The sequence below is a fragment of the Homo sapiens genome, chromosome 4 (genome assembly GCF_000001405.40).
Source record: "Homo sapiens chromosome 4, GRCh38.p14 Primary Assembly".
Lineage (NCBI taxonomy): Eukaryota > Metazoa > Chordata > Mammalia > Primates > Hominidae > Homo > Homo sapiens.
In genome coordinates, this window is record NC_000004.12 from 16,025,925 (window position 1) to 16,038,192 (window position 12,268).

The 12,268-nt window shown below is 39.3% G+C and overlaps 1 protein-coding gene across 39 annotated transcripts in view; it reads right to left on the minus strand.

Moving 5' to 3' along the window:
• The window catches only part of PROM1 (prominin 1), a 115,796-nt gene that overhangs the window by 57,697 nt on the left and 45,831 nt on the right, over window positions 1-12,268 (minus strand). For 26 of the 39 annotated variants that reach the window (NR_199807.1, NR_199806.1, NM_001441179.1 and 23 more), the window contains one exon: window positions 7,380-7,585. Coding sequence is in view for 37 of the 39 variants with exons in the window: in NM_001441174.1 (NP_001428103.1) it covers window positions 7,380-7,585 (206 nt within the window). In the remaining 2 variants the exon portion in view is untranslated. Of the gene's footprint in view, window positions 1-7,379; window positions 7,586-9,810; window positions 9,838-12,268 lie in introns of all 39 variants that reach the window. The other 13 variants (XM_011513902.3, XM_011513900.3, NM_006017.3 and 10 more) reach the window with 1 other exon arrangement.

Below are 12,268 nucleotides of genomic sequence, written 5' to 3' on the forward strand. Positions count from 1 at the left end.
CCTATGTTTTATTTCATCTACAGAAAGTGCAAAAACAAGTGAAACGGTGGTGCTGGAAGTCAGTGGTTATGCCCAGAGCAGGGGTAGAATGGCAGAGTACTCTGTTCGTGGGTGGATTCACTTCATGGACACTTACGCATATGTACTTGTGAAAAGGACACTTTCCTCCATGTGAAATATACTTCAAAAAAAGCTGCAAAAACGCCATATGAAAGGCATCTTACAGGAAAGCCTTCTCTATGTGAAAAAACCAAAACGTCTTTTTTCAAGCCATCTAAAATGTCTAATGTAATAATTTTTAAGGGCTCTTACTGTTGACTAGTTACTAATAATCCTTTGACTTAAAATAATTTGACCAATTGGCCTGTTTTTGTGGCAAAAAACGTTCCATTAGAAGGTGCTAATTGCCAAGGTTCTGTTGAATTTGGCCACTAGATGGCAGTAAGGAACTACATAAACATAGCCGAACTATTTTTACCTGCAGAAGCAAGTAAAAAACTTGTTAGTTTGTAATCATCCAGTGGAAGATGTAGATATGGTTTTAGAACTAAAGTTTTGCAAATAATAGGCAAACTTTAAAAACATATCAGATGCAGAAAATCAATACATTGCCTCTTCAGCAAAAGCAATGTCTTGAGGCTTTATCGTGCATATAATTACGGGTAGGATGACTAAACATCCCATTTTTTGTACCTAAAATCCCATGTCCCATTTCTCCATCCTGGGTAAATGGGGACAGTTATTCACCCCACTTATAGTATAAATACATTCCAAGGAGCATTGGTTCATTACTGGTTTCAAAACATACTTTTCCTTTGCAGTATAACATAGGTCTATTAGGTTTCCCAAAATGCTCCAAAAAAGTTTATGTAATATAACGTTGAGGGATATTTCCTATGGTCAACAAGTTGCAGTGTACTGAATACTAGACTAGGGGCACAAGATTTGGGTTCTGGGTCCTGTCCTGCCACCACCGTACTGTACAAGCCAAAGAAAATCACTTTCTTTCTGTGGACTCCAGTTGGTACCTCCAAACTGAAAAGATCAGTTTAGATCTTTAGGTGTAATTAGATAAATTAGATCCAGTCTAACTTAGATTAGATAAGTGCTTCTCAAGCTGTAAAGGAGAGTAGTACTGGATGTACACGTTCTCTAAGATTTTTAAGTTTGGGTTAATTCTGATGGTAATCTTATAAAATAAATATTAACAATATTCTGTCCCATTTGGAATGACCGCCTTATAATTTGTCCTAAATTTGCATTGGTATTTTGGGAGTCAATGCACTACAGCAATAAGAGTTATGAAATCAGGCACTCATGCCAAAGAGGTCAAATGACTCAAAATAATGATTTTGGAGTTTTGTGAAGAAGAAACACACACACACACACACACACACACAAAAGTTGAGTCAGCAATGCACCTGGAGCTTGCTGCCATGCCAAATTCAAAACATGCTAGACCATGACAAGTCAGGCTCACCACCTGAACATACCTGATGTTCACAATGGGGACTCTTGCTCTCTCTTCCCAGCATGCCCAGATTATTTTATTCACTCGTCAGATTCCAGATACAAGAAGTCAAAGTGAACTTGGGAGAAAAGCACCAGTCCAAGTCCACTTTCACTTGACCCTCACTGACCCCTCCACCCATCCCCAAGAGGGAGAAGAACCTCCTTGCCTTGAACTCCCAGAGGCTCCCTTTAATTCTGATGGGATATGTCTCACTTCAGACTCTAATGTGTCTTTATTCTTATCTATGTTTAATTTTCCTAAAAAGAGGTGGAAACTACTTCTTTGTTAACTTTGTATAATGCAGTCTTGTCTACACCGGGTGCTCCAGGAAGGTGAGTTTAGGGGTCAAGCTTTGGTTTCATTTGGGCTATTTAGAAGACTGGCCGTATGTCTAAGTGTGAGTCAGAAACTGTCTTTGTGCCTTTATTGAATAAATGTCCTTACTCACAAGATCATCAGTCAGTGAAATGAATTGCAATACATTTCACTACAACACTCGATTTCAATGCTACATATTTTAGACCTACATTTCTACTAATCGATAATAGATCTAATTAAAATTAAAGCATTGATAATTTTTTAAAAAAACTGTACTAAGCTGGGTGTGGTGGCACACGCCTGTAATCCTAGCTACTTGGGACACCGACATGGGATAATCACTTGAGCCCAGGAGTTCCAAGTCCAGCATGGGCAATATAGCAAGACCCCATTATTAAAGAGAAAAAGAAAAAAAATCTCTACTAAGTATAATTATAGAGTAGAAGTTAGTGATTTTCAAAGCTGATTTTCAAACTAATGCACAAAGTAAATTTTGTATTTAAATTCTAATGCCTGTGTAAGCAGGCAGAAAGCATTAAAGAAAAATTGGGTAGCAGGGGGTCATGGGAGCTGGGAGATCAAAAATGGGCTGGAGGAGCAGCTAAATCTGCAGGTCTCAAAAGCACCACCATGATGGCAGATAAATATTACCGTATCTTCCCATTATCCACAAAAATCTGGGAATCTGGATTCTTATGTGAAATATCCCAATTTTTAAATATTAGCAACTAACAAAAAAAATTTAAATACTATGCAGACCAACTGATGGTCTCCATGTGCAATCTCAAATTTAAACCTTCTATTCAAACACAAATAAAGAACAAAGAAATTATGCTTTGAGGTATTGATTTAGACACTCCCTGTTGTTCAGTGTATTTTTTAGCAAAAAAAAGGTATGTGAATAAATATTTTTATTTGAACAACCTCCAGTCAATTATTAGAATACAATGATACCAAGAGACATTTACCTAACACAAAAAGGAAATCATATTTCAGTGAATATCAGTTCTCTGGCATTTGACATAAATGCCTTTAAACAATCTAAAACATATGCTTTTAAGCAGTACAACAAAATCTCTTAGAATTTTTAGCAGAAGATAGGAATTTTTATTTTTATGGCCTTACATCTTCCATATTTTATTATGGAAAAAACAATTTTCTCACATATACACTTACAAGCTTTTTACAGAGTAAGGCTAAACCTTACTTTTAAACCTTTACTTTAAAACTTGTAACTGTATTGCTCTTACCAATTTCTACTGATTTAATAAAATTAGCCAAAGAAAGCCAAACAAATGCTTTCAGTCTATAACAGCTCTCTTATTAAAAAACAGAAAAATTACATTTAAACTGTAAGTAACCAGACCTCATTCACATGAAGAAAGTTTCATGATTTTCAGGACTGCTACATCTAGCTCAATCTTTTTTCCACAACCTTGTAGCCTCCCATTCAGGAATTGGCAATCACGTCCTAGTATAAAATGAACTTTGAAAATAGCCAGCTTCCTGAAAATGACTGGAATTCAATTCACCATGGGAATTATTAGCAAGACTGGCTTATCATACTCAGAAACTTAGAAACATACAAAGGAAGTCAAGTCATGGTTTTTTTTTTTCCTTCCATAACCTTTATGAGAAATGCAGCGGTGACAAGCAAAAAGAAAGAAAGGAGAAGAAAGTTGGCTTTTTCTGGAGTAAGACACATCTGCTTAACAGTCTACAGTGAGGGGTGGAAATTCGATCTTGTGCTGATGGTCAAACAGACTGCATAAACATATGTCAGTGTCTACGGAATTCTCACATTCCACAGCTGCCTCTGGGAACCCTCAGAGAAAGAACATGCCCACGTAGATTGCACATCTGCTAGGGCATCTTTCTCCTTAACACCTATGTCTTCCCTTCACCCCCTAAAGAAAAGATTTACATTTTTTAAAATAAAAAAGGATGCTCAAAACTAACTTGAAAACCAACTGCATTTAATTGTAATATTTTGAGCCACAAAATGAAATTGAGTCCAATAAAAGGCAGGTGGACTGCTCTGGGTTTCTGAAAGAATTTTTTAAAAATCACATGCAAAGATTATTTCTCAATAGTGTCCCATCTCCGCTGAAGTCAATGTCAGCTAGAGGCCCTGCATTAAACAAGAGAGAGTCCACTCTCCTATCTTTCCCTCCACTTCCTTTCTTTCCCTTTCTGCCTTCCAATTTTGTTGACATTCTTGTCCTTCTTATTTTTATCTAATCTTCTGATTTTGTTGACATTCTTTCTTCTCCTGTCTAACTACTCATAATAGAGAAATCTTAACTTTCCCCAGGTCTTTAATCCTCCTGCCTAGCTTGGATTACTTGCAAACAATATGTAGGTATTATGCAACTCATGATGTTTAAGGTATTTGCAAACCAGTGGGGGTTTCAAAAGGAAGCCATTAAAATAGCTACCGTAAATCAAAAAGTTCAAGGCAAAGAAGCTTAAATTCTCATCAGAATTTAAAGTGAGAAAAAAAAATTCACACACTACTCTTATTTAAGCCTATTTATAATTTATACATAAATTCAATGTGCTATATGAAATCAAATTAGTTTTAGTTTTGTCACAATCTCAGTTGATCAATTTTGGTTTAATTATATTGAAATCTAAAATTACAATTTTCACATTAATGTTTTACTTGGGTGGGGAAAAAAATTGTTTTAACTGAATGTGTAGGAGGGTATAGAATCACAGCATGCATTTTTAAAAAGAATTTTCTAAATTAAAATATACTTAGAAAAAACATATATTGATTTGATAGGTCTGAGTTCTCAAGAATTAACAAAACGGTAGCTTTCATTTTATATATAAATGGAAGCCAAGTTTATTTTTTACTTTGTAGCTTTATTGTTGATATATTTTGGCATTTTCAACATAATGTAAATAACTCAATCAGCTGAGAGTGAACTATAACATGCATAACACATAACTATATGTAATGCAAATAAAAGTTCAATTTTGAAAAAGAAACCCATTGTAGTGGCTAGGCACGGTGGCTCACACCTGTAATCCTAGCACTTTGGGAGGTCGAGGAGGGCAGATCATTTGAGGCCAGGAGTTTGAGACCAGCCTGGCCAACATGGTGAAACCCCGTCTCTACTAAAAATACAAAAATCTGCCGGGCCTGGTGGCGCATGCTTGTAATCCCAGCTACTAGGAAGGCTGAGGCACAAGAATGACTTGAACCCGGGAGGCGGAGGTTGGAGTGAGCTGTGATAGCGCCACTGCACTCCAACCTGGGTGACACAGCGAGATTCTGTCTCAAAAAAACAAAGAAACCCAATATATTGGAAACCGATTATTACACATGTAAACACTTATTCAGGTAAATAAATAACTACATTCAATAAAGAATTTTCCTGAAATTATACTATATGTATTGACATCAAGTGAAAATTATTAACTTGTTAAATAAGTAATCATTCTAACTAGAAGCCCTAAGGGCAATATTTTCAGATGATGCTTTCACATCCGAGTCTCATCTTTGAGGTCCAGGGTGTATGGAGCGGGTAAACATGGCTGTGCAAGTGTCTAGACAAATGTGGCGTGTAAGTTTCAGGCTTACAGGAAACACACCAGGGATCCCTGGTGGGTTTGACAGGTTTCAGGGCTGTAACCGAGATTCTTCTGGTAGCTGAAAAAGAGGTAACTACCCCTATAACTAGGAGTCTGTGCATTCCTTAGAGTATATCAAATACAAAGCAGAGAGAGACAGGGACATTTGGAATGACCACTACTGACCTGATCCCAAACTGCCTCTCAAAATCAAATGTGAAAAAAATAGCAAGGATCAAATGATTTTTGGAGACACAGAGAAAGAGACAGACAGTGACAGAAAAATACAGAGAGGCAAGGAGAGACAGAAAAGGGAAGAAAAGAGAGAGAGAGAGGGAGAGAGAGATTGACAGGCAGAGATGCCCACACCCCAATGTCATGGAGACAAAACAAGTAACTCTCAGGCTAACCAACAATGCATGAAGTCAGCTAACACATTCACTTGGATCTTGTTTACACACATATATAGTTAAGGTCGATTATTCCACTATTATGAGCAAAAGTATGTCTTTGCTTAAATAGTCACTGCCCTGGAGTAAGTGGTAATGCATTGGCCTTTGTCTGTTGTGAAGATTTTTTTTGTCACTGTTCAAGTTTCAGTTAAGTTAATTCAATAGGTAATACCCGAGCCTGGTACATAATCAAAAGAGACAAAAAGCCCAGCTACAGCAAGAAATGAGTTTCCTTCCTTCCCCTCCACAACCCTCAATTTCCTTTCCAGAGGCAACCACTGTTGCCAGTTTCTTGTCAACCCTTTCACATCCCATCTGCTCTATAAAAATATGACCCAGTGCTTGTGTCTCCTTCCTGATCTTTTTTTTTTTTAACATAGTTACCATGTTCTACACATGGTCTGCAACCTGCTTTTTCACTTCATCTGTCATGGTGACTGGTATCAACAAATCCAGAGCTGCCCAGTCCTCTTCAATGGGTACACTGCATTCCAATGAGTGGTCACCCTAAGCCATACACATCTTATCAGACCCCTGCTGGTGGCCACACTTAAAGGCTTTCCTTCTTGGGTTTGCAGCTAGAACTCCAACTCACAGGACTTACTGTTTTCTGTTAAAATTCCTGAATATCACTTCCTTAGTAAAACTTGAAAAAAATCTTACGGCTACTGAGCACGTGTGGTGTTTGGAGAAACAACAAAGAGAATGCTGTTGGCCAACCCTTGCTGTGCCTTCATGTCATAGGCACATTGATTTCTGCTGCTGCATGAAACAGTGGCGGAATGAATGAGGAAATGTGGAACAATAACCAAGCAACATAACAAGGGAACACTGCTGTGGCGCACTCATCTTCAGATGAGCAATCTAATTTGGACTCGAAAAAACGTCATCTTAAAAGCAATGTATTTCTGATCTGCCAGTCAACTGGAAAACTTTTGAAAGCAGCAGACACTGCAGCAGAAATACCCTAAATCGTGAAGTGTGTTCCAGACTTAAGGGAGGGTAGCGGATTAACAGCACATAAAAGAAAAATGAGTTTATTATTAGAAAGTCAATTGCATTCTACAATATTTTCAAATTTCCAAATTCAGGGACTGCATCAGTCCATCAAGATTCCTTTGGACTCAACTAGCAAATCAACTTGCAGATCCATCTCTCTTTTCTGCATGCTGCCTGCCTGCAAATAGCTAATTAAGAGGAGTCTGCTGTGCTGGGAGGTAAGTCCTTTCTGCAGTCCAAGATTTCTCAGGATACCTTCAAGAGGAAAAAAATACCAAAGGGCTGGCTCATCAGCTCAGCTGGGGCAGCTTCATTACAACGCTAATGTCTGATGATAATGAGATCCTTTCGAATCACTCTAGACAAGCGCTTGTGCTCTCTCTTTTCTGTTTGGTGGGTTTTTTTTTCATTGTTGCTATTTTGTTTAGTTTTAAACTCATGGTTTAACCATAAAAATGTGAGACACTCTTCATCAGCCTAAAACACAATCAGTTGTTGTCCAATATTGTACTTGCCTTATTATTATACAAATCACCAACAGGGAGATTGCAAAGCATTTCCTCAGGAAGGGCCCATTTTCCTTCTGTCGCTGGTGCATTTCTCCACCACATTTGTTACAGCAACGACACATACAAAAGAAATACCCCACCAGAGGCATCAGAATAATAAACAGCAGCCCCAGGACACAGCATAGAATAATCCCTGCTTCATAGTAGACAATCTGCAATTCAAACAAAAGAAACAGCACATATTGTAGCACAAAATAATAAGTAGAACATTCCATGGTGTACAAAGTTCTTTTTTTTTTTTTTTTTTTTTGAGACAGGGTCTCGCTCTGTTGCCCAGGCTGGAGCGCAGTGGCGCGATTTCGGCTCACTGCAACCTCTGCCTCCTGGGTTCAAGCGATTCTTGGGCCTCAGCCTCCCGAGTACTGTATTTTTAGTAGAGACAGGGTTTCACCATGTTGTCCAGGCTGGTCTTGAACTCCTGGCCTCAAGCAATCTACCTGCCTCAGCCTCCCAAAGTGCTGGGATTACAGGTGTAAGCCACCGCACCTGGCCATGTTTCATTTTTTTAACCTATCTGCCATCATTAGTTGAATCTGAATGTGTACATATATATATATATATATGTATGTATTTTTTTCCATTTTGAAACTCCTTTTTGAAACAGAGGAAGCAGAGAATTGAGTAATTAAATACATGGCCAAGTGGTTACTGGAAGATGTCTTTCAACCCCTAGGAAGATGTCTAAATGCTAGTTTGAGCTGCAAATGGTTTAATTTTAACCCCAAAGGTATTTTGTTTGTTTTTAAATGGATCAATAAATCTTGGCAGGAGTACTTGCATAACAATCTACATATAAGGCGCTTTGCACACTGCAAAAATAGAAGTTAAAGATTCAAAGCACTTTGGATTGGCTGGCAAACAATTACTCAAGAATCTGGAATGTATCTTAATTTAGAAAAAAGGCTCAGACTCTAAGTCAGGCACGTTAAACACAGGCCAGTCACAAGGTTCCTCCTCTGATACACTGGAAATAATAATACGTACCTTGTCAAGTCATTGTGAAAATTAGAGATAACGCATGATTAGAAATAATGTGACAAAGGACCAAGCACTGAGTAGACACTTACTAAAGGTGCCTCTCATGCCATGCCCAGGAGCCAGATCCACAGTGAAGGACCGACCTTGGCAGTCCGTGTCTCAGACGGTTCCTGAGTTCCTAGGAACAGCACAATTTCTAGATACAATCATGTGACCTAAACATATTTTCATAATCACTGCTGACTTTATTCCGGGATAAACGAAAATTAATGCAACTAGATGATGAAACTTGATGTCATTCCAATTCATGCATGTAGCTGCTTATATTTCTAAAGAATGGCAGAAAATTGCAAGTTGGCAGTTTGCAACTAAATGGACAATCTAGACAGCTGCGAATTCTGAAGCCAAGCTGAGCAAAGGAAAATAAAACACGAGTCTTGTTCCTGGGAGCAAATGTGATGTCTTGGAGGAGAGACCTGCTTTACATCCCAGCAGGGGGCTTCCAGGTCCCTAAAGTGGATGGTGTCACATTAGCATTAACTTCATAAACATATTGTGAGGGACAAATAACTAAATGACTGAATGTGAAAACAACTAGCCAAGTGCCCAGCACACAGTAGATATTCAATAAATGGTAGTTAACTCTATGAGCAAATGCTCAAGACTAGTAAATCTGGTGCATCTGGCACTTGAATATTATCTACTTCCATATTAAGATTAAATTGCTTAAAAAAAAGAGTGGCTGAATCTTGCTGGGTTCATCAAGTATGTGCTCACGCTTAAGCTAACCCCCATCCCATGTCCACGAAGAGGCATTATTAGGGGACTTAACCCTTCCTCGAGGACCAATACCACTTGTCAGTTAAGAAACCAGCCCAGACATTCCAAACTCTTACTTACGTATTTTTCCATCATTTCTCAGCAAATATTCTAAATTGTTTACTATTTTAAAGAAATGTAAATTCTATCTGAATTCCAGGAGACACTGAACCAAAACCCAGGAGAGAAGATATATTGAAATGTTTTAAATGCACTAATTTTAGCTTTAAATACAAATTGTACATTTGATAACACAGCCTTTCTAATGTTACTGACTAAATATCAGGCAGTATCAGGAACAAGATACGGCATTTCAAGAGTTCACTTCTAGGCCGACTAGACGAAGGCCTGTCACTACTTAAACTGTTTTTTGATACACCAAGATCTTCCAGTGCTTTGTTGATTGTGTTGAAGATCAACATGTAAATATTACAGAGATATCTTTCTTCAAAGAGAAGGTTAAAAGTGATGGTAAAAACAGAAATGAAACGGATCATTTAAAAATCTTCACAGTGAGGATGACAGTGAAGAACAGAAAGGCTTTCCAAGAGCAACTTGAAATAGCAGACAAGGACTTTACCTTTAGACCTAAGATTACAGTTTCTGGCTGTAGAAGTCAACGCAGGTGAGGAATTTTGGCAGAGGCAGCATGCATCAAGAAAACAGACAGAAAAAGTTATGAGTGATCAACCATAACCAAGAACATTCATATCCCACAAGGAGGAAATTGGGTGATAGAAGGATAAACATGAGAAAGGAATATAAAACTTGAGTGTGAATTCAAGAAACAGTGTTTTAAGTTGCTCTGAGTTCTGAAATTTACATTTGCATTTACATTTGGATTTCCCAAAAGGTTCTTAATCCGTATGCTAATCGGTTACGCAAAGGAGAATTAGAGGGGAAGTTACAAATGCTTAACACACTAACCATGTGATCTTCATAAAATAGAGAATCAGATCTGAGAACTCCAGAACCAACGGCAGCATCTTCCCAAGTGCCCTTTTCTAAAATAAAAATCTGATGGTGTTATTCCCATGCTTAAAGCGATCAACGGATTCCCACCATTTTTATTCCAAACATCTCAATGTTTGATTTTAAATGTCCTTTCGTGGCAAAATAAAATTAGGTGGCTCTATGTCATTTTCTAGATCACTTTTTTGAAATATTCTGGTCCAGGAAATCTAAAAGTGTAGAAACTATTGCCTCAGCTGGCAGATCTTCACAGCTCTGAGGGAACACCATTTGTGATGGGAATCACTTTTAAATGAGGCATCCAAAATACTGGGACTGGGGGGCAGTTCAGATATACCTGCCTCTGGGGTCACACAGGGCATTTTAAATGATCCCGGTCTCCCTTTCTTGGGGAAGGGGCACGCAGGCTTGTTACCAACCAGGGCACAAGCTCCCAAGCTCACCAGACACAAAGAAGCACCTCACAGTGTGTGTTAAAGAAAAACATTGACTCCTGGGCTCCTCTGCTACAGCACATGAGTCAGAAGATATGGGTAAGACCAGGAATCTGTGTTCCCTGAGCCTCCCAAATAAACGACTTGCCCTGGAGTCATTGGTGTAGGGTCTGCTTCAGGGGGAACCAACCCAACACACTCAGCCTTTATCAGACTAAATCTAGTCAGAAAGCCCTCCTCTAGATGTGGCCTGGATCCTTTGGTGCCTTTGTTTAATTAACCTCTTTCTTTGGATAATGGTAGAAAGCATGGTCCAGTTCCACATCTAGAGTAGGAATCAGCTCATTCATGTGGGCTCAGTTCTGCATCTTCTCTCCACTGCACCCCCACCCAGAGTTTTTATTCATTTGCAAAGGCAAGGAAAGAGAGCAGGAGCCAGGGGTATAAACCAAGGTTATGGGAGTGCCAAATCTAATACCAAGTCAAGCACAAAGACCCTGCCAGGGACGGTGGCAGCCCAGCTCCAGCTCAGACTCACAGGTTCCTCAAGGCCACCTAAGGGTCTCAGGACCTCGTTCTCCAAGTCCCGGATCCCACTGAAGCACTGCCCCTACTCTCATTCCTTGGTTGGCATTCGGGCTGGCTAAGCATGTTATGCTAATTTTGAATATAAATATAAAAGCAACTGTCATTTTCTTCCCCCCAGAGATACAGGCCGACGTGACAATCACATTGGGAGATATAAATGAAGCCTGTGGCACTGAGGAATGAAAATGCTTTCCACGGTGCTGGGGAAGGCTGTGAGCCCTGGGAACAGCTCAGTTCATCTTCCACACAGTCTTCCCTTGCTGAATGTAAACAGCCTCTAGATAAGGCTTTCCTCTTCTGCATTTACTTTTCTCTTGAGTATAATTTTCTTGCAAGTTAAGAATATGATGAGGCCATTTGTAACTACCGTATCTGAGGTAACGATTCACTGGGCAAAAGGGAACTGCCTTCTCCCATGCCGGAAACACTAGCATTCAGATTTGTTGTGCAGGCCAGTAAAAAACGTCCACCTATACATCTGCTTACTGGTAGCCCGATAACCGCCTTCAAACCAGGAAAGGAAGGAACAAAGTGCTTTACTTACCGAGAAGGACTGAGAACCTGGCCAACACATTTAACTAATTTTTATTACCTTACATTCAGTGCTACACACTTTTGTCTGTTTGCTTCATGGGCAACCTACAGTCATAACACACCAAAATCGAAAGACCATTCTCCTGTTTAGGTAGGCAGTCGCAGAGGAGTGCATTGGCAGCAACTTGGGTAATAAGCAGAAAAATGCAAGGAGCCTTGATACTTTCTGAAAATACTATGGATTCACTCAAGAGAGGCGTTCAAGGCCCTCCCAGGATCAGGCCCCAACTTACCTTTTTTTCTCTCCCTCTGGCCAGGGGCCTGCTTCTTTCATACCTTGACCTCTTTGCTCACATGTTCTGAAGCCTGGAATGTGAGAAGAGCGCCCACCCATCCCACCGGCTCTGCCCTTGTATGATCCTTGTTACATTAACTAGATAAGGTCCCTGCTATCTGTCTTCTAGCCTCTTGAGACCAAAGGCTATCATCCTTATCTCCACCTTCCTTCAT